Source organism: Homo sapiens, chromosome 2 (genome assembly GCF_000001405.40).
Source record: "Homo sapiens chromosome 2, GRCh38.p14 Primary Assembly".
Lineage (NCBI taxonomy): Eukaryota > Metazoa > Chordata > Mammalia > Primates > Hominidae > Homo > Homo sapiens.
Genome location: NC_000002.12, coordinates 200,004,532 through 200,026,259, shown reverse-complemented (window position 1 = coordinate 200,026,259; position 21,728 = coordinate 200,004,532). Strand labels below are relative to the sequence as shown.

The window sequence follows — 21,728 nt, the reverse complement described above, 5'->3', positions numbered from 1 at the left end:
TTTCATTTTATTCAAACAGGTCACTGACTGTTTATATTTTAGCAATGTTTATCCATGGAAGAGGAGATGAAAAGACTTAAGGACTTAAACCTAGGACGAACAAAACTTAAAAACCAAAAAACTCTAAATCCATCAATCCCAAAATGTGTATTTCAAAAGATAGGGAGCCAGCCTAATTTAACAATATGCTAAACAGGTAAAATATTTCATCTTAGAATTTAACTCTGCAGCAGTGAAACAGGGAGCTTCTCCACTGTGTCTGGAAAAGACAACGCTTTGGTTCTATTGTAAGAGCTGTGAATTCAGCCCAGGGCAGGCAGGGATCCAAATGACCTGAATATGCCACTTCCTACGACTAATTCAGAGGAAATGAATCTTCTACCTTTCCTGGATACTGGGCTGACTTTACATATGAATAGAACTGATCAAGGCCAATGAGATGGGATTTCACATAAGTAATAAAAACAATCATGGCAATAACAACTAACATTTATTGAGAGCAGCATTTATAAACACCAGCAGTGGGCTAGAAGTTTCATGGAGATCATTTCCCTGACTCTTCATGATAATCCTATAAGGTGGGTGTTACTATATCTACTATTTTATAGATAAGAAAACTGATTCTTAGAGAGGAGAAGTACAATAACTTGCCTAAGATTTTGTAGCTGTTAAGTGATGGATCCAGGACTCTAATTATAAAGTCCAAGTTCTAAACTATATGCTCAGCCTTCACTCAGAAATTGCACCATTAGAAAGCCATTTCTCCAGCCTACGCAACATGGCAAAACCCCATCTCTACAAAAAATACAAAAAATAGTGGGGCATGGTGGCACATGCCTGTGGTACCAGCTACTCGGGGGGCTGAGGTGGGAGGATCCACAAAGAATGCAATTTTTCTGGAATAAGATATGGTCCCTTGTTAAATGCCATCCACCTTTGGAAGGGATTACATGGTATGTTCTCAGTCATCAACTCCAGTGTCAATGAGTTCTTCAGGCCCTTTATCACTTGATAACAAACTGAGAGGAAGTGTTTCCAGGAATCAGAGGAGACTGCACATAGGAAGTCTAAAGGGGGCAGTGAGGTTGTAGAGAAGCTACAAGAAAGCTATAACCAGAGTCCCTATGACTGCTGACATGCCTGCCTCAAGAGATTTAGAGCAAGCCCACTTTTATCCTTCCATCTGTAGAAGGCATTCTCTCCCACATAGGACTGGCCCTACTCACTGTCCCATTCTTTTATGTGGTAATTAACTTTACCACTACTTCTAGGGGACAAGAATGTACATCCCCTGGAGACTCCCAGATGCTTTCGTCTACTTCCGTGGGTCTCACGCTCCACATAGATCAAGCCTTCTTGTCTCTTTCTATATCTAGTAATTCTTGATGAGGAAGAAACCCATTTACAAATTTTTTTCTGAGACAGGGTCTTGCTCTTTCACCCAGGCTGAAGTGCAGTGGCATGATCACAGCTCACTGCAACCTCAGCCTCCCAGGCCAAAAGGACTTATAACTTAAAAGGATGGATGGGGTGGAGATGAACACAAGCTGAGGCACATTAAGCACCAGACTCTGATCCAGGGCTTGATATCCATGATGATCTCATTAAATATTCACAGCAGCTCTCCCAGGGAGACGTGATATCCCCATTTTACAGGAGAGTACACCAGCGTCCAGTACCTCCTCACAGTTTCAAAGCTTAGTAAGAGACCAATCCAGATTCAAACACATGTCCCCAGACTCCAATCTCCATTTCCCAGCCCTAAAAGAAAGAGTAAATGGGCTATAAAATAAATATCTTAGAACAGAACCTCTTATTGAAATTAAAACAATATTCAAAGGAGAGCAAAAAGGGGGCTGATGCTTCTTATGTATCTTAGCCATCAAATGTAAAAGAAGGTTGAGTTGGCCTTTATGAGGGGGGAAAAGTAGTGAAAGTGATGGGCCACAGAAATCAGTCAACTAAATTCCTTTACAGCCCCTCACTTATTTGGTGAATGGCACGTGCTGCTCATGATAAACAGAAAAATGGCTTGGATTTCTCATCCTCAAATTCTTACCTGAGAGATGGTAACATTCTAAATAAAGGTACATTTCTTATTACAACCTGAGTTTGAGCCCCAAAGCCCAACATAATCTGCTGGTGAGGTGGGGTGTGCCATTGTGAGCCCTGGTTCCCATGTCGTTTCTAAGAGCAGCCAAGCAGCAGATAGTCCTGGGCCTTCTCATCACCCTGATACTCATGAGGCACTCTCAGTCTCTGTTGAGAGTAAGAGCTTTTAGCTTTTGCATCTCCTAGAGGAGCTTTTGCTCCAGTCCCTAGCATTATTTCCTAGAAAAGAGATGTGGCCAAGTTGTGTCCTTGGCTTTCATACCCAAGTACATTCCTCTTGGCCTAAGGGAGAAAGCCTTGAGCTCCTCTTGTGATAGGTGCTTTGATCATGTCCTATTCACCGCATTGGTGAAGGAGGTATTTCAGGACACTGGACACCACACAGATAAGATTGACAGCAGTTTATTCATCACTGATACTGATAGTCTGGGAGAGGACATTGCTCAACACACAGGGCCACACAGGGACTGCACTTGGGACCAAGGTGAACAACCAGGGGCCATGGGAGGCAAGCTTGGCAGTATCAAGAGGGTGACATGCCCCTTGGTTCCTGTGGGAAAATGTGATTGGCCTCTTTGAATGATTCCACATGCTGGCAGGGACTGAAGCTTGCTCCTTAGGGATAAATAGGAACTGCAATCGGTCCCCATGATAAGAAGAGTTATTAGCTAGGGAACCTTTTCCACACTAGCAGAGTAGGGAGGGGAACTTGTGTTAGGCCATCTGAGGCCTGTCCTGTTTTCTTCAGATGTCAAAGCAAGCATGCTATGGGACTTTAGTTCTAGTCCTTGTACCATTGTAGTACATGTCACTAAAGGATCAAACAAAAATAGAGAAGGAACTCAACAAGTTTTGATTTGTATGTGCCCCGTTCCTCCTTCAACATACATGCTCTAGAGGTAAAGAAACATGCGAGTCCCTCCCCTTTTACGTTCCTTCATGAAGCCTTGGATAATACCGAGTCCTTTTTGATGGAATACCACAATAACCAGTGACTTAATAAATGTTATTGTTTGAGGAAGCCAATCTTTATTTGAGTAGCTATTGCCAGCCAAATTCTTTATTAATTTATCAAATATTTATAGAAAATCTAAACAGACCATTTGTATAGGAGCTGTATCTGTCAGAGTTCTTTGGTTGCAGGCCACAGAAACTGAGTCTGGTTGACTTTAACAAAAAAAGGGAACTTACTGGACTGGATTTCAGTAGCTCAGAAAACTGGATTAAAAAAAAGAATTTAAAGAACCCAGGTTCAGAAAGGACAATAATCAGGACAGCTCTGATTAGGATCTTGGTAGCAGAAACTGATGAATACTCTATTGAGGGCAGCATGGGAGAAATGAATTAACTCTAATCCTTCCGTTAGTTGGCCTAGCATTCAAACTGCAGGAGGAGTCTGACTGGCATGGCTGGAGTCTTGGCCCAGGGAAGGAGGACATGTTGATCGAAAATACAACCAAATCTGCAATAGACAGCAGATGGTTGCTCAAAGGAAAACCAAATGACTATTTACCCAAAGAAAGAGGAAGGGATTCTAGGCAGGCAAAAACAAAAACAAAAACAGGCATACATTTCTAGAGCTATGTCATTATCTTATATGAATTGGAAAATCAATGATTATTAAACAAAACAGGTAAATCATATCTTAACCCACTTTCTTGGTTGTGCTTTCTACAGTGTGTATTTGTGTACTTTTTTACTTGTTTCATTAAAATAAAACATGTTCAGTGCCTTAATACCTGGTTGTAAGGTAGATTTGTTGTGGATTTAACCCTCAGACAGGCCAATCTGCCTTTAAGCCTTAGCTCTTACTCCAACCACGTATCTTACAAAAATAGATCTTTTTTCACAAAGAAGAAGTAGAGATATGAATGGATCAGCAAAAAATATTTTAAGTGATTTTAAAATTATTTAATGAAAGCATTTTATGTAGGCACTGCCCTGCTAGACTCATGGGCAGCAAAAAGATAGATGCACACCACAAAAAGTACTTCCCACACCTAAGTTTATAATGAACATGTGCACACGCAAGCAATTAAATGACAGTTCAATAAGAAATATGTAACCCAGATGTCAGGGGAAACTCTACATTCTTTTCCTTCCCAATATTTACGTCCTGAAGAGTCCCAGAAGTTCCCATACTCAATGTCATTTTTGAATCTTAGTTTCTGTTACCCCTGAAATCTTATTTTCACTTTTATTTTTGCCCCACAATTGTTGCCTTTTCTGTGTTCCATACGAAACCAGAAATACCCCCACTAAAAAAAAGGGGCGTGTTGAGTACAGCAAACTCCACTCAAACATTGGTGAGAAGAAGGGGACCCACATCAAAGAAGAGCTAATAGGTAAAAAGTGTTTGATTTCTATATTTTTAAAAGTCTTTTAACTATTTCCAACAATTCAGGCCACAGCATTCTGTCATGTATTTCAGCCCTCTACTTTTTTCACTGCTTATCAGTAATCTACCCCATGTTACTATGCAAAGCAATCTAGGTTTCGTCAATGCAGCTGCAGCACTCCCTTGGTAGAACCAAACACTCACTAGCTGTTGGACAATTGATCACCTACTTCCTCATCAGTCTCTACAAGAGAACTGGATCAGATTTTTTCCCAGGGGTATGAATCCTGCCACCCATCCTTAGGGGCGTCAAGGGGGGCAGAAATGGCTATAGTTAACCTACATTTTAAATAAGAGTTTGCCCTCTGTCACGACTGCTCTGAGTGGGCCCATGAGGGAGGGAAGGTTGTGGGTCTTAACAGTGTGGAAGAGATTTTAGGGAAGGACTCTAACTTGAACTCATGACTGTGACTTAAAAATGCAGGGATCAAATTTAAACTGAAAACTTCAGACTAAAATTTTGTAACCAAATATATACATATTGGTGTGTGTGTATATACACACACACACACACACACACATATATATATACACACACACACATATATATTTCTCTCACTTTCTTTTCCAAATCCCGTCAAAATATCATAAGTAATATCAAAATAAGAACAAACCTATTGCATTACTGAAAACCAAGAGGGCATCTTCAAGCAAGTAAAAAATTTCTGGAATATATAAAGCAAATGACATATTTCCCCGAAGCTGAAGAATCTGCAACCCATGTAGTTGAACAGAAAAAAAGAAAAAAAAAAGAGAGAGAGAGAAAATAAAAGATTAAAAGGAAGAAAAGAAGGAAGGAAGAAAGTTAGTTTTCCAGACGAACTTTGAAATCCTAAAACCAACAATAGTTGGAATTAAAAGGAGCTGGAAATGGGGTGACAGGCTGGGTGAATAATTAAAGACCTGTGGAACAGCTGCACGAGTCCCCTGCTCTCAGAATTGCTGGTTCTGTTGTTTGCCTGCAGGATACAATTTTCCATTTGTGAAATAATTTTTAAACCCTGATACAGAGTATTCCCAGGATGGTTGTTGGGACCAGAAAAGCAGGGCACTCCCTAGGTAATATATGATCACTACGAGATTCGCAATGAAAAAACAGGTGACTCAGATAACTATTGGTTCTACATCTTTCTCTCCGCTTCCTTTATCAACTGCCAAAAGAAAGCTTGCTATATTGGAAAACTGTCACTGCCAGAGAAACAGAGATGTTTCACTTGGGCTGAGGAAATGGACCCTAGCTACCAATCCAGGTCAATACATACCATTGATAAACGTGAGTATACAACAAACAATCACCAATCATCTGAAGAAAATGAATAGCATAAAAGAGAGGGAACAAACCAAAAGAGTAGAAGAACTAATTCCTGAAGAAAGAGTTAGTAGAAAAAAACAAAAGAGAGTTAAGAGCATGCCATATCCTAAAGAAGAGCAGATGTGTGTGAAAAAGAATCTATCAGGACCTTGGAAATTAAAAACATGATCACCAAAATAAATAACAGATGGCTCAAATAACAGAATTTACATAACAGAAAGTAGAGTTAGTAAATTAAAATATGTGGCCAAGGAAATCTCCTAGGGTATAGTAAAAAATAATGAGATGAAAATAAGTACAAAGTTGAGAGATAGGAAAGACAGATGCAGGAGATCCAACATTCATCTAATTGGAGTTCTAAAAAGGGAGAACATCAGGAGGAAATTATCAAATAAGTAATTATGTAGGCATATGAAAAAGTGTTCAGCATCACTAATCATTAGGGAAATGCAAATCAAAATCACAATGAGAAAAAAATCACCATTTTACATACATTAGGATGGTTATTACAAAAAAAAAAAAAAACCCAAAACAGAAAATAAAAATTGTTGGCAAGGATGTGGAGAAATTGGAACACTTGGGCATTGCTAGTGGGAATGTAAAATAATGCAGCCACTATGGAACACAGTATGGTGGTTCCTCAAATAATTGAATGTAGAATTATCATATGACCCAGTGATTCTAACTCTAGCTGTATACCAAAAAGAATTAAAAGCAAGGACTCAAACAGATACTTGTATACTGATATTCATAGAGCATTATTCACAGTGGCCAAAAGGTGGAAACACCCAATGTCTATGAATGGATGAATGGATAAACAAAATGTGGTATAACCATAAAATGGAATATTATTCAGCATTAAAAACGAAAGAAATTCTGATACATGCTATAACATGGCTGAACTTTGAAAACATGCTTAAATGAAATAAGCCAGATCTGAAAGGACAAATATCATATGATTCCACTTATATGAGATACTTAGAGTAGTCAAATTCATAGAGACAGAAAGTAGAACAGTGGTTATCAGGAGCTGGGGGAAATGGGGAGTTACCATTTAATGGTTATAGTTTCAGCTTGAGTTGAAAAATTTCTGAAGATGAATGGTGATAATGGTTATGTCACAATGTGAACATACTTAATGTCACTGGGTTACATACTTAAAAATAGTTAAATGGCAAATTTTATGTTTGTATATTTTACCACAATCAAAAGCCCTTAAAGCAAAGCAAAACATATTACAGTATTGCTTTTGCATTTAAATAAATTAGACATTTTTGTAAAGAAAGAACTATGGAAAATTTCACTGAGCTGGAGTCTTCACATGGAACGAACTCACTGAGTGATGAGCAGAAGTAACTGTAAAAGAAATAAGCCTAGACACATCATGATGAATTTTCTAAACTCTAAAATTAAAGAGAGAATCCTAAAAACCACAGACCAGAAAAAAGATTACCTATTGCTATGGACTAAATATTTGTGTACCCCCAAAATTTATATGTTGAAATCCTAACCCCCAAGGTGCTGGTAATAGGAGATGGGGCCTTTGGGTGGCAATTAGGTCATGAGGGCTGAGCCCACTTGAATGGGATTAGTGCTTTTATTAAAGAAATCCCAGAGAGCTCCCTTACCCCTTCTGCCATGTGAGGACACAGCAAGAACCAGAAAGCATCAGATCCTGATATGGTTTGGCTGTATCCCCACCCAAATCTCATCTTGAATTACCATGTGTTGTGGGAGGGACCTGGTGGGAGGTAACTGAATCACGGAGGCAAGTCTTTCCTGTGCTGTTCTCATGACAATGAATAAGTCTCACCAGATCTGATAGTTTTAAAAAGAGGAGTTCCCCTGCACAAGCTTTCTTCCTTTGCCTGCTGCCATGCATGTAAGATGTGACTTGCTAGTCCTTGCTTTCCACCATGATTGTGAGGCTTCCCCAGCCACATGGAACTGTAAGTCCAATTAAACCTCTTTCTTTTGTAAATTGCCCAGTCTTGGGTATGTCTTTATCAGCAGCATGAAAACTAACTAATACAGTAAATTGGTACCAGTAGAGTGGGGTACCTGAAAATGTGGAAGCAACTTCGGAACTGGGTAACAAACAGAGGTTGGAACAGTTTGGAAGGCTCAGAAGAAGACAGGAAAATGTGGGAAAGTTTGAAACTCCCAGAGATGTGTTGAATGGCTTTGACCAAAATGCTGATAATGATATGGACAATGAAAAGCAGGCTGACGTGGTCTCAGATGGAGATGAGGAACTTGTTGGGAACTGGAGCAAAGGTGACTCTTATGTTTTAGCAAAGAGACTGGTGGCATTTTGCCCTAGAGATTTGTGGAACTTCGAACTTCAGAGAGACGATTTAAGGTTCTGGTGGAAGAAATTTCTACACAGCAAAGCATTCAAGAGGTGACTTGGTGCTGTTAAACGCATTCATTTGTAAAAGGAAAACAGAGCATAAAAGTTTGGAAAATTTGCAGCCTGACAATGCAGTAGAAAAGAAAATCCCATTTTCTGAGGAGAAATTCAAGCTGGCTGCAGAAATTTGCATAAGTGATGAGGAAGCAGATGTTAATCCCCAAGACAATGAGGAAAGTGTCTCCAGGGCATGTCAGAGGTCTTCACAGCAGCCCCTCTCATCACAGGCTCAAAGGCCTAGGAGGAAAAAGTGGTTTTGTGGGCCAGACCCAAGGTTCCTGTACTGTTTGTAGCCTAAGGACTTGGTACCTGCATCCCAGCTGCTGCAGCTGTGACTAAAAGGGGCCAAGGTACAGCTCAGGCCATGGTTTCAGAGGGTGCAATCCCCAAGCCTTGGCAACTTCCAAGTGGTGTTGAGCCTGCAAGTGCACAGAAGTCAAGAACTGAGGTTTGGAAACCTCTGCCTAGATTTCAGAGGTTTTGAAATGTAAGGACATGAGATTCGGGAGGGGCCAGGGGCAGAATGATATGGTTTGGCTGTGTCCCCACTCAAATCTCATCTTGAATTCCCACATGTTGTAAGAGGGACCTAGGGGGAGGTAGTTGAATCACAGAGGCAAGTCTTTGCCATGCTGTTCTCCTGATAGTGAATAAGTCTCACCAGATCTGATGGTTTTAAAAAGAAGAGTTCTGGCTGGGTACAGTGGCTCACGCCTGTAATCCCAGCACTTTGGGAGGCCGAGGCAGGTGGATTACGAGGTCAGGAGATGGAGACCAGCCTGGCCAACATGGTGAAACCCTGTCTCTACTAAAAACACAAAAAATCAGCTGGGCATGGTGGCACGTGCCTGTAGTCCCAGCTACTCAGCAGGCTGAAGCAGGAGAATTGCTTAAACCTGGGAGATGGAGGTTGCAGTGAGCCAAGATTGCACCACTGCACTCCAGCCTGGGCAACAGAGCAAGGCTCTGTCTCAAAAAAAAAACAAAAAAAAAAACAGAGGAGTTCCTCTTCATGAGCTCTCTCTCTTTGCCTGCTGCCATCCATGTAAGATGTGACTTGCTTCTGCTTGCCTTCCACCATGATTGTGAGGCTTCCCCAGCCACGTGGAACCATAAGTCCAATTAAACCTCTTTCTTTTGTAAATTGCCCAGTCTTGGGTAAGTCTTATTCGTAGCATGAAAGCAAACTAATACAGACCCCAAATTTGCTGGCACCTTGATCTTGGACTTCCAGCCTCCAGAAATGTGAGAAATAAATTTCTGTTGTTTATAAGCACCCAGTCTACTGCATTTGTTATAGCAGCCCAAAATAACTAAGACATCTACCAAAGAGAAAAAAAGCATATTGGCATCTTCTTTATAATACATGACACTAGAAAACAATGGAGTGATGTCTTCTAAATTCTGAAGGAAATTATTTTGAGCCTAGAATTCCTGCTTCAGCAAAACTAGTATTCACGTGTGTGGGGAAAGGCAATTTTTGAACACATAAGATCTCAGTTTACAACTTATGAATTCTTTCTAAATGAATTATTGAAAGCTATAGTAAACTGAGAAATTGGTTTTAAAAAAAGAAGTGTAATTCGAGGAAAAAATAGATACTAATAGGAATTTTAATTAAAATTAAATAATTATTGATAATATGGCTATATGACTCTATAATTTTTTAAAAAGATAAGCATGCCATAAAATATTTCATAATAATTAGAACTTAAAATTCAAAGCAATTTCAATGAAACTAGGAAAAGAGAAAGAGAAAGTAAGTGAGAGGATTTTCCCTTATTCTGGGGGGGAGTGAGATTTTAAATACAGAATAAATATCAATTCTGAGAAAAATGTGAGTTTAAATATATTTATTAAAAACCTAACAATAACTACTGGAACAGTAAAAATAAGATTTGTAACTTTCAAATACCAGGTGAAAAAAGAAAACCTTATCATCAAAAGAGAAGAACAGCTACCCAAAACAACACAAAATAGAAAACAAGCAAAACCAAACCAAGACAAAAAAGCCTTACAAAGAGAAAACACAAAATGAGAAAGCAAAAATAAGATTGATTGATATAACAAATACAGCACTTTCAAGTCCTAGGGACTGTTCAGAGCGCTTTACAAATATTAGCTGATTTAATCAAACATACAATTACCTCAATAAATGTGAATAGGTTAAATTCCTCAATTAAGAAAACCAGATTCTGATGTCTTAAGTTGTGTTAAAACAAGACAAGAGAGAAAGCAAGAGAAATAATGTCTTTAAACAAAATGACTAAAGTTTGTTAAAACAAAAAGCCAGGAAAATTACACCAAAATAAAACAAAGTAGCAGGGATGGCAGTATTACTATTGAACAAACTAAAATTCAAATCAAACAGGATTAAATGGAATTTTTAAAAATTACATGTATGTAAATATATGTCACTATATGTCATTATATTTCATATTTTTAAAATATAAAAATTTAAATATAATATTTTAATTTTTAAAATACAAAATATAATAATAAATCTGTAAATTTGTAAAAAGCTTTAAGAGCACTAACCTATGAGCCTTAGGATAATATCAAACATGTTTATTCAAAACTATTAGAAATGTCAGGATTTGAATTGATTCATGGAGTTGCAAAGGGAAGGAGACATTTTTGGCAAAAAGAAATTACCCTACCTGGTCAGCGAAGCCACTAGTGAGGCCACTTTGACTAACACTGAGGGTCTGTGGAGGAGGCTAAGGAAGAAATAAGATTAGAAAGGTGGAGCAGGTCTAGCTTTTACTTCCAGGAAAGGTGATGAGGATCAAGGGAGAGATGTGATTACAGGTGTCCTTTAGAAAGGTAAATCAGGGCTGGGCACAGTGGCTCACGCCTGTAATCCCAGCACTTTGGGAGGCTGAGGCGGGTGGATCACGAGGTCAGGAGTTCAAGACCAGTCTAACCAAGATGGTGAAACCCGGTCTCTACTAAAAATACAAAAATTAGCCTGGCGGCGGGGTGGGTGCCTGCAATCCCAGCTACTAGGAAGGCTGAGGCAGAGAATTGCTTGGACCCTGGAGGCAGAAGTTGCAGTGAGCTGAGATCATGCCACTGCACTCCAGCCTGGGCAACAAAGTGAGACTTCATCTCAAAGTGAGACGTGAGACTCACTTCACAAAGTGAGACTTCATCTCAAAAAAAAAAAAAAAAAAAAAGAAAAGAAAAGAAAGATAAATCAGGCAGCAGCATGCAAAACTGGCTGGAGAAGAAATGGAGTATTGGCAACACAGGCAGAAGTGCATATTCACTATTAGTAAATCAGTAGTACATTTCCACATTACCCTTATGCTCTTAGTCTATCAGAAAGAAGTATTTGGAAGTTGAGTTCAATAATATGAAAGTCTTCTGAAAATTGAGGTGCTTTAAATATGTAATATTAATATTAATTATTCTCATTCATTCTATAGTATTATATTTAAATACTTAAAGTCTCTAAATCATGATCATAAATTGGTATCTACAATCCTTATCCTGTAGGTAATTGAAAGCTTTGAAGAACTTGATCAAAGTGAATTCTTTCACCAAAGATCTAAGAATAGCCAGAAGATGTTCAATTACAGAGGCAGTCCAGGCATATCTGCTTTTCCTCCCCTTTCTCTCTTTGCACTGTATCCCCCTCTACCCTATACGGAGAGTTTGGATATGGAAATTTTGGAAGGGTCCTATTAGCTACAAGGACATAGCCTCCTATGGGAGAATCTGTCTTTTTCAGATATGAAATCAGTTTTATAATTTTAAGGAAATTTTTGATACCTACATTTTTAAGGAAATGTCATTCTTGACTCTGCTTAGGCTATGCACAGGAGCAGGCCGGCGGAGAACAGATTTTCCTCGTTTTAGGAACTGTTGTTAGTAATGCACTCTCCCAATCACCTGCATCAATGAAGGGGAGCCAAAATGGAAATAATCCCAATGGTAGATCATCCAAAAACATATGGCTGTTTAGTTTGGAAGTACATTCAATTACTTTTTCTTGCAGCTAGGTCTTTCTAAATCTGTATTCCCTGGTTATTGCTAAAGTAATTTGCTATCCCTGACCACACACTAATTCATAATGGGAAGAATGGCCCAGGTGGGCTGGTTGGCAATGGTGCATCAGCCTGAGATTAACCATTTGCCACAGATAATTACAAATGAGTAATTCAGAGCCAGATAACTGAGAATTCTTATATACTATATGTTTTGTCTCAGGAGGCCAACTGTAAAATTCCTGTGATTTCTATGATTCTATGTGCATGTGTGTGTGTGTGTAAGAGAGAGAGAGAAATTAAGAAGAATTTATGATAATTTTATGGTAATCCTTTAGCACTAAAAGAGAATTAATAAGGCCTTGCTTTTAGGAATTGAAGTAACATCTTTAGCTGCTTTCTAACTTTGAAAATGTGAGGATTTTGATTTTTTTAAAAAAAAATCAACCATAATCTTTAAGTAAATGACTTTAATGTCACATACCAGAAAGGGAACATATAAAGATGAAGCTTATCATTTCTCAACTAGTTTCATCAAGAATTATAATTTTCAATGGGTAAACTTTGAGAGAAATTATACTATTAATCGTTAAACTCAAGAGTTTTATCAAAGCCTCAAACATTATCACTGGCAACAAAAGACTGAATATAAACATAGTTAATTATTTCTCTGGCTTTACCAAATACCATTGTGAGGTACTGAAGATACCTATTAAGATAGACATAATTATTATTGAAGGATATGATTTATTTATATATTTTCCATAATACCTATAAAATAAATAAGTTAGAGGAAATCATAATCAAAATGTGTATTAAAATAACATTGTCAATAGCTATTGATATTTGGCAATAGCAGTCAATAAATTAAATAATTACAAGCTTGTCAAAATTTTGTATTGGAGATGATTGTCCTTTACCCAACTATCATTTCCTTGATGCCCATACCCCTTCTTAGAGAGCATACCTGGCACTGCCTGGAAAGAGCACTAGAACACTGTGTCCTTGCCTATCTGAGAGTGTGAGCCCATCACACTGAAGCTGAGCCCATCACATTCTCTCTCCTGGTTTTGGATGTGCAGACTAGAAACACCATTTGTAATCAGAGGTGGGTGCTGCTCTTTTAGGAGCACTGGTAATGGGAATTTTTCCAAAGACAAAAGAATGAAACAGGTGCAGCAGAGACAAGGAACCAGGGGCCAGAGGGACAGGAAGAAGAGGAAAGTGAGAGTAAAAGAATTTTACTGATAACCTTCTGGTTCTATAAAATTTTTTAGTTCTTGCTAAAACTGGACACCTTGAGATGCTGTATCCTTACAATAAACTTCTCTGTAATTAGCCGAGCTTAAGTGGATTTCTTCTGGCAACTATGCATATGAAACTGCTCAACCACTATGTTAATTTTCAAGTCTTCTAAAGATGGTAACAACTTAAATTTCCCTGCCAGAATTTTGGAGAGAGGCAAGCAAATCTGACATCAGAAATGTAGTTGTCTCACTTTTGGTTTAAATCCTGAATCAGTTTAGGGAAGCAGTGGGTGAAGATTATTTTTAAACAGCCCACAGTCAACTTATCCTACTCAAAAGTATGACCAAAACACTGAGGAGGCAGAAGAGATAAAGAATTTTTATTTTCTGATAAGTAGTGGTTATTTTGACATAAAATAATTATTATATGAAAGTCCTTTGAACCACTGTGACTTGGATTGACAATTAGAGAAAGAGAGAGAGTGAGAGTGAGAATAGAGTGAGTGTACATGTGGCCTACTGCATGAAAGGTAAATCAGCAGATTCTTGAATCAACCATCTATTCTATTTCTATAATTATGTATTGGTTTAAAAAAGACTCCTTCTTAGTAAAGGCAAGTGTTGACTAAGTTATGTGTGTCACAGTAAAAGCCATACACCTTCTTTTTGGCCTGTTAAAACAAGGTTTAAGGAAAATGAGGAATAGTTCAAGCCAAGAACATCTGAGCAAATAATCAAATAAGAAAAACAATTAAAAGTTTGGGATGATATTAACAAACTGACAAAAAAACACTGAGATAAGAATCTTGGGGGGAAATAGAAAGCACAGTAAAAAAATAAATAAATGGGGCAAGAGTTAAGATGTGAAAAGACTCAGAAGACCTTCATTCTTACAGTAACACAAGAAAAGTCATAATATAAAATTATACTTACATATGAGACAATAGAAAAGTGGTGGACAAAAGAAAACCTTGACAAACTAATTTTTAATAGATCAAAACCTTTCATGGGTCAGCAGAAAGTGACAACATCCTCTAGGGTAAGTTCTATGTCTAGATATAGGCAGGCAGATGAGAAGACGTGCCATAAACTTGATAAGTGTATCAGGTAAGAAGAGGCCAGCTGATCTATTGGCAATGGTAAAGGAAGGCAGGATGGACTGAGGTATGGAAGACCCCTTAAATGCAGCATTTTTTCTTGGCATAATAATTCTCCCCATTCTCTTCCACAATTTGTTGAGAAAAGCTGGGCATGCTGTATTAGATAATAAGAACTCAGGTAAATAGTTTGTTAATTTTAGAGTTTATGGTAATCTAGCTAGAAATTAGACTTTTTAATGTTTGATGTAGCTATAGATGCCAGAAGCTTCAAATTCCTCTGGCATCTTTGTTTTCGTCTCCCTTTTTGACTTTCAGCTTCCCTAGGTATTCCTCCTCAAAAAGAGTTGTGTTGTACAGCTCTTTCAGCTGTAATCCACTGTTATAATACTGGAGCCCCGCTGGTGTGGTGGTAAGCCATGGCGGATAAGGAGCATTCTATACTCTTCTAATTAAATCTCTGTGTTTTATTGGGCCTGTGTCTTTTACAAGTTTTTCTCCAGTGGTAAAGACCTTTTTCCCTCTCTTGCCTCCACTCCTATCCCTGACTGCTCCAATCCCAATATATTTTCTTAAAGCCTTGACCCTTGTTGACTATGTCTTTCCTCCTTACATGAGACAGGAAGACTGGAGGGAGCTTCAGTGGGAAGAATATCCTTCCCCCAATTGGGATAAAGTTCTGAAAGATTCTTTCCCCATGGAGCATAGGCCATTGTTAGGGAGAGGTCTCTGGGTATATTTCCCATTGGGATATTTCTGGGTATATTTCTCACTCTTCCTCTTCTCTTCCAGAGCTACCAGGGGATCTTCCTTCGCCCTTCACTGTGAGAACCTGCTGAGGTCCCTGAAAATACAGTCCGTGAAAGTGCAGGGGCCACCTGAGACTGTGATTCCCAGGAGTTTCTCATTCAAGTCCATACTCAGCCTCCAACAAAATTTATCAAATTTACTGTGTAAAGGTTCTGTCTACTTTATGGCTTGAGTACCTTCTGCTTCAGGTAAGAAGCTCTTGGCTATGTTTCTCTGGATGAACCTGTCTCCCAGATTTTGGGGAGAAGGGTTGCCCTATAACCTCAGTTCTCTGATGTGTCCAATAAGAGTCATTGATTTTCAGTTTTCCAGCTTCTTCTTGCTGTAAGGATGAGAGTGATGATTCAGGCTGTTAACACGTCAGAACTAAAACTGGAAATCACATTTATATATTTTCATCCAACAACTACAAAATACACTTTCATTTCTAGTACACATGGAAGATAGACCATGGCAGTACATTTAAAGGATTGAAATAATACAGAGTATTTTCTATGATCAAAATAGAATTAAGTTAGAAATCAATAATAAAAATTGATACATGAAAAATCTACAGTATTTGGAAACTAACACTAACTTCTGAATAACCCATAAGTCAAAGAAGAATCAAAGGGAAATGAGAAAATGTTCATGAAATTAAAATGACACAACAACATATCAAAATGCATGGAATAAAACAAAAGTAGGGCTAAGGGAGTGTATTAGTTAACTACTATTGTATAATAACTTTGCCAAAAATATAGCTATTTAAAACAATATATAGTTATTATCTCACAGTTTCTGTGGGTCAGCAGTGTGGGCATGACATAGCTGGCCTCTGCTCCAGGGTGTCACAAAGCAGCAATTAAGGTGTTAGCCATGGCTGCTGTCTCAGCTAAAGACTTGACTGGAGAAGAATTTACTTCCAAACTCATGCAGTTTTTAGCAGGATTCAGGTCCTTCCCATAAAGAAAACTCAAGGCCCAGATGGCTTAACTGGTAAATTATATCTTTAAAGGGGAAATAATGCCAATCTTACATAAGTCCTTTCAGAAAATAGATGAGAAAACAATACTTCCCAACTTTGTTGTGAAGCCAGAATAACCCTAAAACCAAAACTGGCAAGTACATTACAAGAAAAGAAGTAACAGAGAAGTAAGTTTTAACAAAATATTAACACTATAACTCTAGCAATGTGCACATAGGGTAATACAGCACAACCAAGTGGGGTTTATCCCAGGGATTCAAGGTCAATTTAATGTAAAAGTGTAACTCGTCGTGAGGTGTGGTGGTTCATGCCTGTACTCCCAGCACTTTTGGAGGCCAAGGCAGGAGGGTTGCTTGAGCCCAGGAGTTTGAGATCAGCTTGGGCAACATAGGGAGATCCTATCTCTACAAATAATTTAAAATTAGCTGAGCATGGTGGCACACACCTGTAGTCTCAGCTACTCGGGATGCTGAGGCAGGAGGAACACTTGAGCCCAGGAGTTCAAGGCTGCAGTGAGCCGTGATCTCACTACTGCACTCCAGCCTGGGCGACAGACCAAGACTCTGTCTCAAAAAAAAAAAAAAAGTTCATCACATTAACAGAATAAAGGAGAATCACCATGTAACCTTCTTCATAGATATAGAACAATAATTTAACAAAATTCAACTCCTTTGTAGTAAAATCTCTCCGGAAATATAAATAGAAGGAAACTTTAATAATCTGACATGAAAACTCTATGGCTACAAAAGACTTAATAGTGAAATTTTGGATACTATCCTTCTAAGTTCAGAAATAACAAAAAACAGTTTGTTCTTATCACTTGCATTCAGCATTGCACTGGAAGTCCCAGCCAATACTACAACATGGCAAGAGAATAAAATAAAATGCATAAATATTGGGAACGAATAAGTAAAACTCTTTATTCACAAATGATATGATTATATACCTAGAAAATGCAAAAGAATCTACAAAACTCTTCTAGGTCTCACAAGCGAAGTCAGCAACAAACAACTGGAAGATAACATTTTTTAAATGATGGATAGTAGCAATCAAGAAACATAAAATACCTAGGAATAAATTTAATGACAGATACACGTTTGCTAGACTGACGACTATAAAACATTGGTGAGAGAAAGAAAATCTAAATAAATGGAGAGCCATACCATTTTCACAGATTGAAAGATTCAATATTGTGAAGATATCAATTATCCCTTGTAGTAGTTTCTTATGGTTGTTTAATAATTTACCAAAAGTTTAGTCAGTTGAAATAATACAAACTCCTTATTTTACAGCTCGGTAGATCAGGGAGTCAGATGTGGGTCTCACTGGGCTAACATAAAGGTGTCAAGACTCTATTCCTTCTGGAGGCTCTGGGGAAGAATCCATTTCCTTGTCTTTTCCATCTTCTAGAGGCCACCCACTCTCCTTGGCTCATGGCCTCTTCCTCTGTTTTGAAACGTCAACAACAGCATGTCAAGTTTTTTTTGTATTGCATCATTCTGACTTCTTTTTCTGCACCCCTTTTCCATAGCTAAGGACTGCTGTGATCACACTGGCCCCATCCAGATAAGCCGGGATAGCCTCCCTATTTTAAGGTTAATTGGGTGGCAAACTTAACTACATCTGCAACCTTAATTTCCCTTTGCCACATAGCCTAACTTATTTACAAGTTCCAAGGATTAGAATATGAACGTCTTTGGCAGGGGGTGAGGGGAAGGGAAAAATTATTCTGCCTGCCATTTTCCTCAAATGATCTGTAAATTCAATACAATTCCAACAAAATACTGGCATATCCTTTTGTAGAAATTGACATGCTGATACTAAAATGTACGATGAATACTAAACAACTTAGAACACTTGACCCTTGTGCAACATGAGGGTTAGGGGCACCAACCCCCATGCACTTAAAAATTTGCATATAACTTTTGACTCTCAAAAAATTTAACTACTAACTGGAAGCCTTACTGATAATAGTCAATTAACACTTATTTTGTTTGTTATATGTACTATAAGAAACTGTATTCTTACAATAAAGTAAGCTAGAGAAAAAATGCTATTAAGAAAATCATAAGGAAGAGGTAATACATTTACAGTACACATGGTATTTATTGATACTGTAAGTTTGCATTGTCTGTTTACAGGATTGATTGTCTGTCTGAAATAGTGGGTGACCATAGCTGCAGACCTCAATCTATGGTACATATCAAGCAATTCGACTTTCTATTGTAGTGTGATAATTTTTCTCTGCTTCTTGGGAGTGCTTCCAGCATCACTAGTGGCACTTTGTATGGGTCCCATGGTGTTACTCAAGGTCTATGCTGTTGCACTTAACTCATTGAAAAATATGCAAGAACTGAGAGAAATCACTTTCCACTGCAATTTGCAATATACTGAAGAGACAAACTGCTCATGTGGAGATGATTAGCATCACATGGCATTTTAAGCAGATACTTGCAACATTTGAGCTCATGGAAATAGCAACAGGAGGTAGCTATGAAATTATGACAGTAGTACAATATGTACAACAGTGAATTTTATGTAGTTGTGATTCAATACTGCATCTTTACATTTGTGTACATTTCTCTGGACTGTGAGTGGCACCATCTATGATCTGTAAATGCTTATATGCATAAGTTTTGATAAATTCTAACTTTCTAGAAAAGATCTATGTGTATTTTATGGTAGTAAAGGATAAAATAGGTTAGTATCTATGTATGTTTTATGCCTTCATGACATATCTAACTTTTTCTTAATTTGGGGGGTATTTCTAGGCTACGTGGTTCTTTTGTAAGTTTTTTCAAATTGTCACAAATCTCCAAAAAAATTTTCAATGTATTTATTGAAAACAAATTCATGTTTAGGTGTACCTGTGCAGTTTAAATCCATGTTGTTCAAGCATCAAAGGTACTAAACAATCTTGAAAAGGGTAACCAAATCTGGCAGGCATACACTACCTAATTGCAATATTGTCAATAAAGCCACAGTGATTAAGAGAATGTAATACTGGTATCAGAATAGACTAATAGATCAATAACAAATGGTGCTGGAACATTTGGATATCCATATGGGAAAAAGAAGGACCATGATGAATACCTTACATTCCCAAAAATTAACTCAAGATGGATTGCACACTTAAACTTAAAAGCTATACTATAAAGTCCCTAAAAGAAGACACAGGAAAATATCTTTGTGACCTTGTGATAGGCAAAGTTGTCTTAAAATGTGAGAAGACCTAATTCTAAAGGAAAAAAATTGATAAACTAATAAACTGGATACAATTTTTAAATTCTGCTTATCAAAAGACACTATAAAGAAAATGAAATCTGAATAATAAACTTGGAGAAATATTTGCAATACATGTATCTAACCATCATGAGTGCATGTTGCATCACCGAGACCCCTCTCTGAGACTAGAGGATTATGTAATGAGCTGCTTAGAAAATTGTTGGCTGACAGCTCTCAGTTGACAACTCTCTTCAAGAATTGCCTAGGCTGAAGATGTCACACCTCCTTTTGGGGGTAGTCCACATCTAATATCTTACTGACTCAGGAGTGTAAATGTTTGGTCCTGCACTGCAACTTAGGAAAATTCTGAAGGCCCACCAGGTTCAGAATTTCCTATGTTGTGACTACACAGGTGGCCAGTTTCTCCCTTTAACAATCTTCCTTTTTCCTACGGATGTTGATCCCAAGAGCACTCCCTAATACTTCTCATACATTTGCCTCTCCATCTGCTTCCTAAGAAACCCATTCTGAGAAGCATTGACAAAAAACATGTGTCCCTGATAGATAAGTTACTCCTACAAATCAATAATTTTAAAGTAAAACAACCAAAGTTTTAAAATGGGCAAAATACTTAAATAAATACTTCACAATAAGGGATATACAAATGGTTAATAAACTCATGAAAAGATTGTCAAGATTATTAATCAACAAGGAAATGCAAATCAAAACTACAATGAGAATACCCACACACCCATTAGAATAACTGAAAAATAAAAGTATTAACAATACCAAGTGTGGGAGATAACATGGAGCAACTGGATCTTTCATACATGGCTAATGGGATTGTGAATTGATGCAATCACTTTGGAAAACTACTTGAATGTTTTACAATGTTCACAATATACCTACCTCATAATCCAGCAATTCCACACTTAGATATTTACCTACAAGAAATGAAAACATTTATCCATGAAAAGATTTAAACAAGAATGTTCATTACTGCTTCACTTATTAATTTAAAAATAACAAAATTAACCATCAACAAAAGGATAGATAAAGAAATTGTGGCATTTTCATGCAATGGAATACCACATAGCAATAAAAAGAAGGAACTACTGATAGATGCAACAACATGAATGAATCTCAAAAACACTCTGTTAAGTGAAAGACGCTAGACTCCCCAGAATGACATACTGTGTGTTCAGTAACAGGGGAAATTAACATATGAAGGTAGAAATCAGAGCAGTGATTTCCTGAAGAGGAGGGGCTATAGACCTTGAAGAGAACTTTCCAGGGTAAGAATTTTCTAGGGTGATGGCAATGTTCTATAACTTAATTGGAATATTGATTTACAGGGTCATATATTTGTCAAAATTCATCAAACCGTACACTTGAGATCTGTGCAGTTTACTATGAGAGGGAAGATACTGTTTGACAAAAGAATGTAAACAGAAAACTGCTAATAAAACATCAGTAAGACAAGAGAATAGTGGTGGGAGACATTCAGAGAAACATGCTCTGTTTCTTGGCCAGTTCCAAGGCTCCTAACATATCTGCTTTCCCTGGAGAGCCTGTTAATAGATACTTGCTATGAAATTCAAGCACACATGAAAATTCAGAACGTGTTCATCTTTATCAACGGTAATAGTTTTGAGGGCAAAACATGCAGTCAAGTGTAGTGCTGCACTTAGAAGTGCCTACCCAGCCACAAAATGCAGGGTTGAAGCCCAGCTCTGCCTCTGTTTATGAGATCTAGACCAGTTAGTTATCCTCTCATCTGTAAAATGGGGATAATGATAATAATTGCATCCACTTAGTGGGGCCACCTTGAGGATTAAATGACTTAACACATGCAAGCCTCCTAAAAAGTGTTTGCCATATAATAAGTGCTTGATAACTGTTAATATCGTATGAATTCTAAAGTGCATCCTCCTGCATGGATTTGCTATTGTGCAAGTTTAAAGATATCGAAGCAGAAAAGGATATATAGATCTTTGAAAACTTGAATCTGCTTGTATATTTCTCTGAAAATGTCACTGGCACTGTTGTGGCAACCCAGCAGTGATGGTTTCTATTCAGGGAAGAGGCAGTTCTGAATTCAATAAGGTTTTTTGCAGAGAATCAAGAGGCTGTGGGTTCTGGTCAAGATTTCACT

The 21,728-nt window shown here is 37.8% G+C and overlaps 2 long non-coding RNA genes across 4 annotated transcripts in view, besides 1 other annotated feature; one reads left to right on the top strand and one right to left on the bottom strand.

Annotated features, from left to right (window-relative positions):
* Positions 1-21,728, top strand: part of LOC124906112 (uncharacterized) — a 204,201-nt gene that overhangs the window by 148,538 nt on the left and 33,935 nt on the right. For both annotated transcript variants that reach the window (XR_007088012.1, XR_007088015.1), the window contains exon 2: positions 15,364-15,569. This is a non-coding gene — a long non-coding RNA (uncharacterized LOC124906112). The remainder of the gene's footprint in view (positions 1-15,363; positions 15,570-21,728) is intronic.
* Positions 13,835-20,613, bottom strand: LOC124907962 (uncharacterized). Of its 2 annotated transcripts, none has more exons than XR_007088035.1 (2): positions 20,483-20,613; positions 13,835-15,703 (listed from the first exon to the last, which is right to left on the bottom strand). It is a non-coding gene; the product is annotated as an uncharacterized LOC124907962 (long non-coding RNA). The 2 variants fall into 2 exon arrangements; XR_007088030.1 differs by lacking the exon at positions 20,483-20,613 and adding an exon at positions 16,794-16,836.
* Positions 16,118-16,275: a silencer, noted in NCBI's record as "fragment chr2:200874708-200874865 (GRCh37/hg19 assembly coordinates)". NCBI's record gives its function as "represses an EF-1alpha promoter that drives an FKBP-Casp9 reporter gene in an ReSE screen in phorbol 12-myristate 13-acetate-treated (for megakaryocytic differentiation) K562 erythroleukemia cells {active_cell/tissue: K562(+PMA)}" and the evidence as "EXISTENCE:reporter gene assay evidence [ECO:0000049][PMID:32094911]".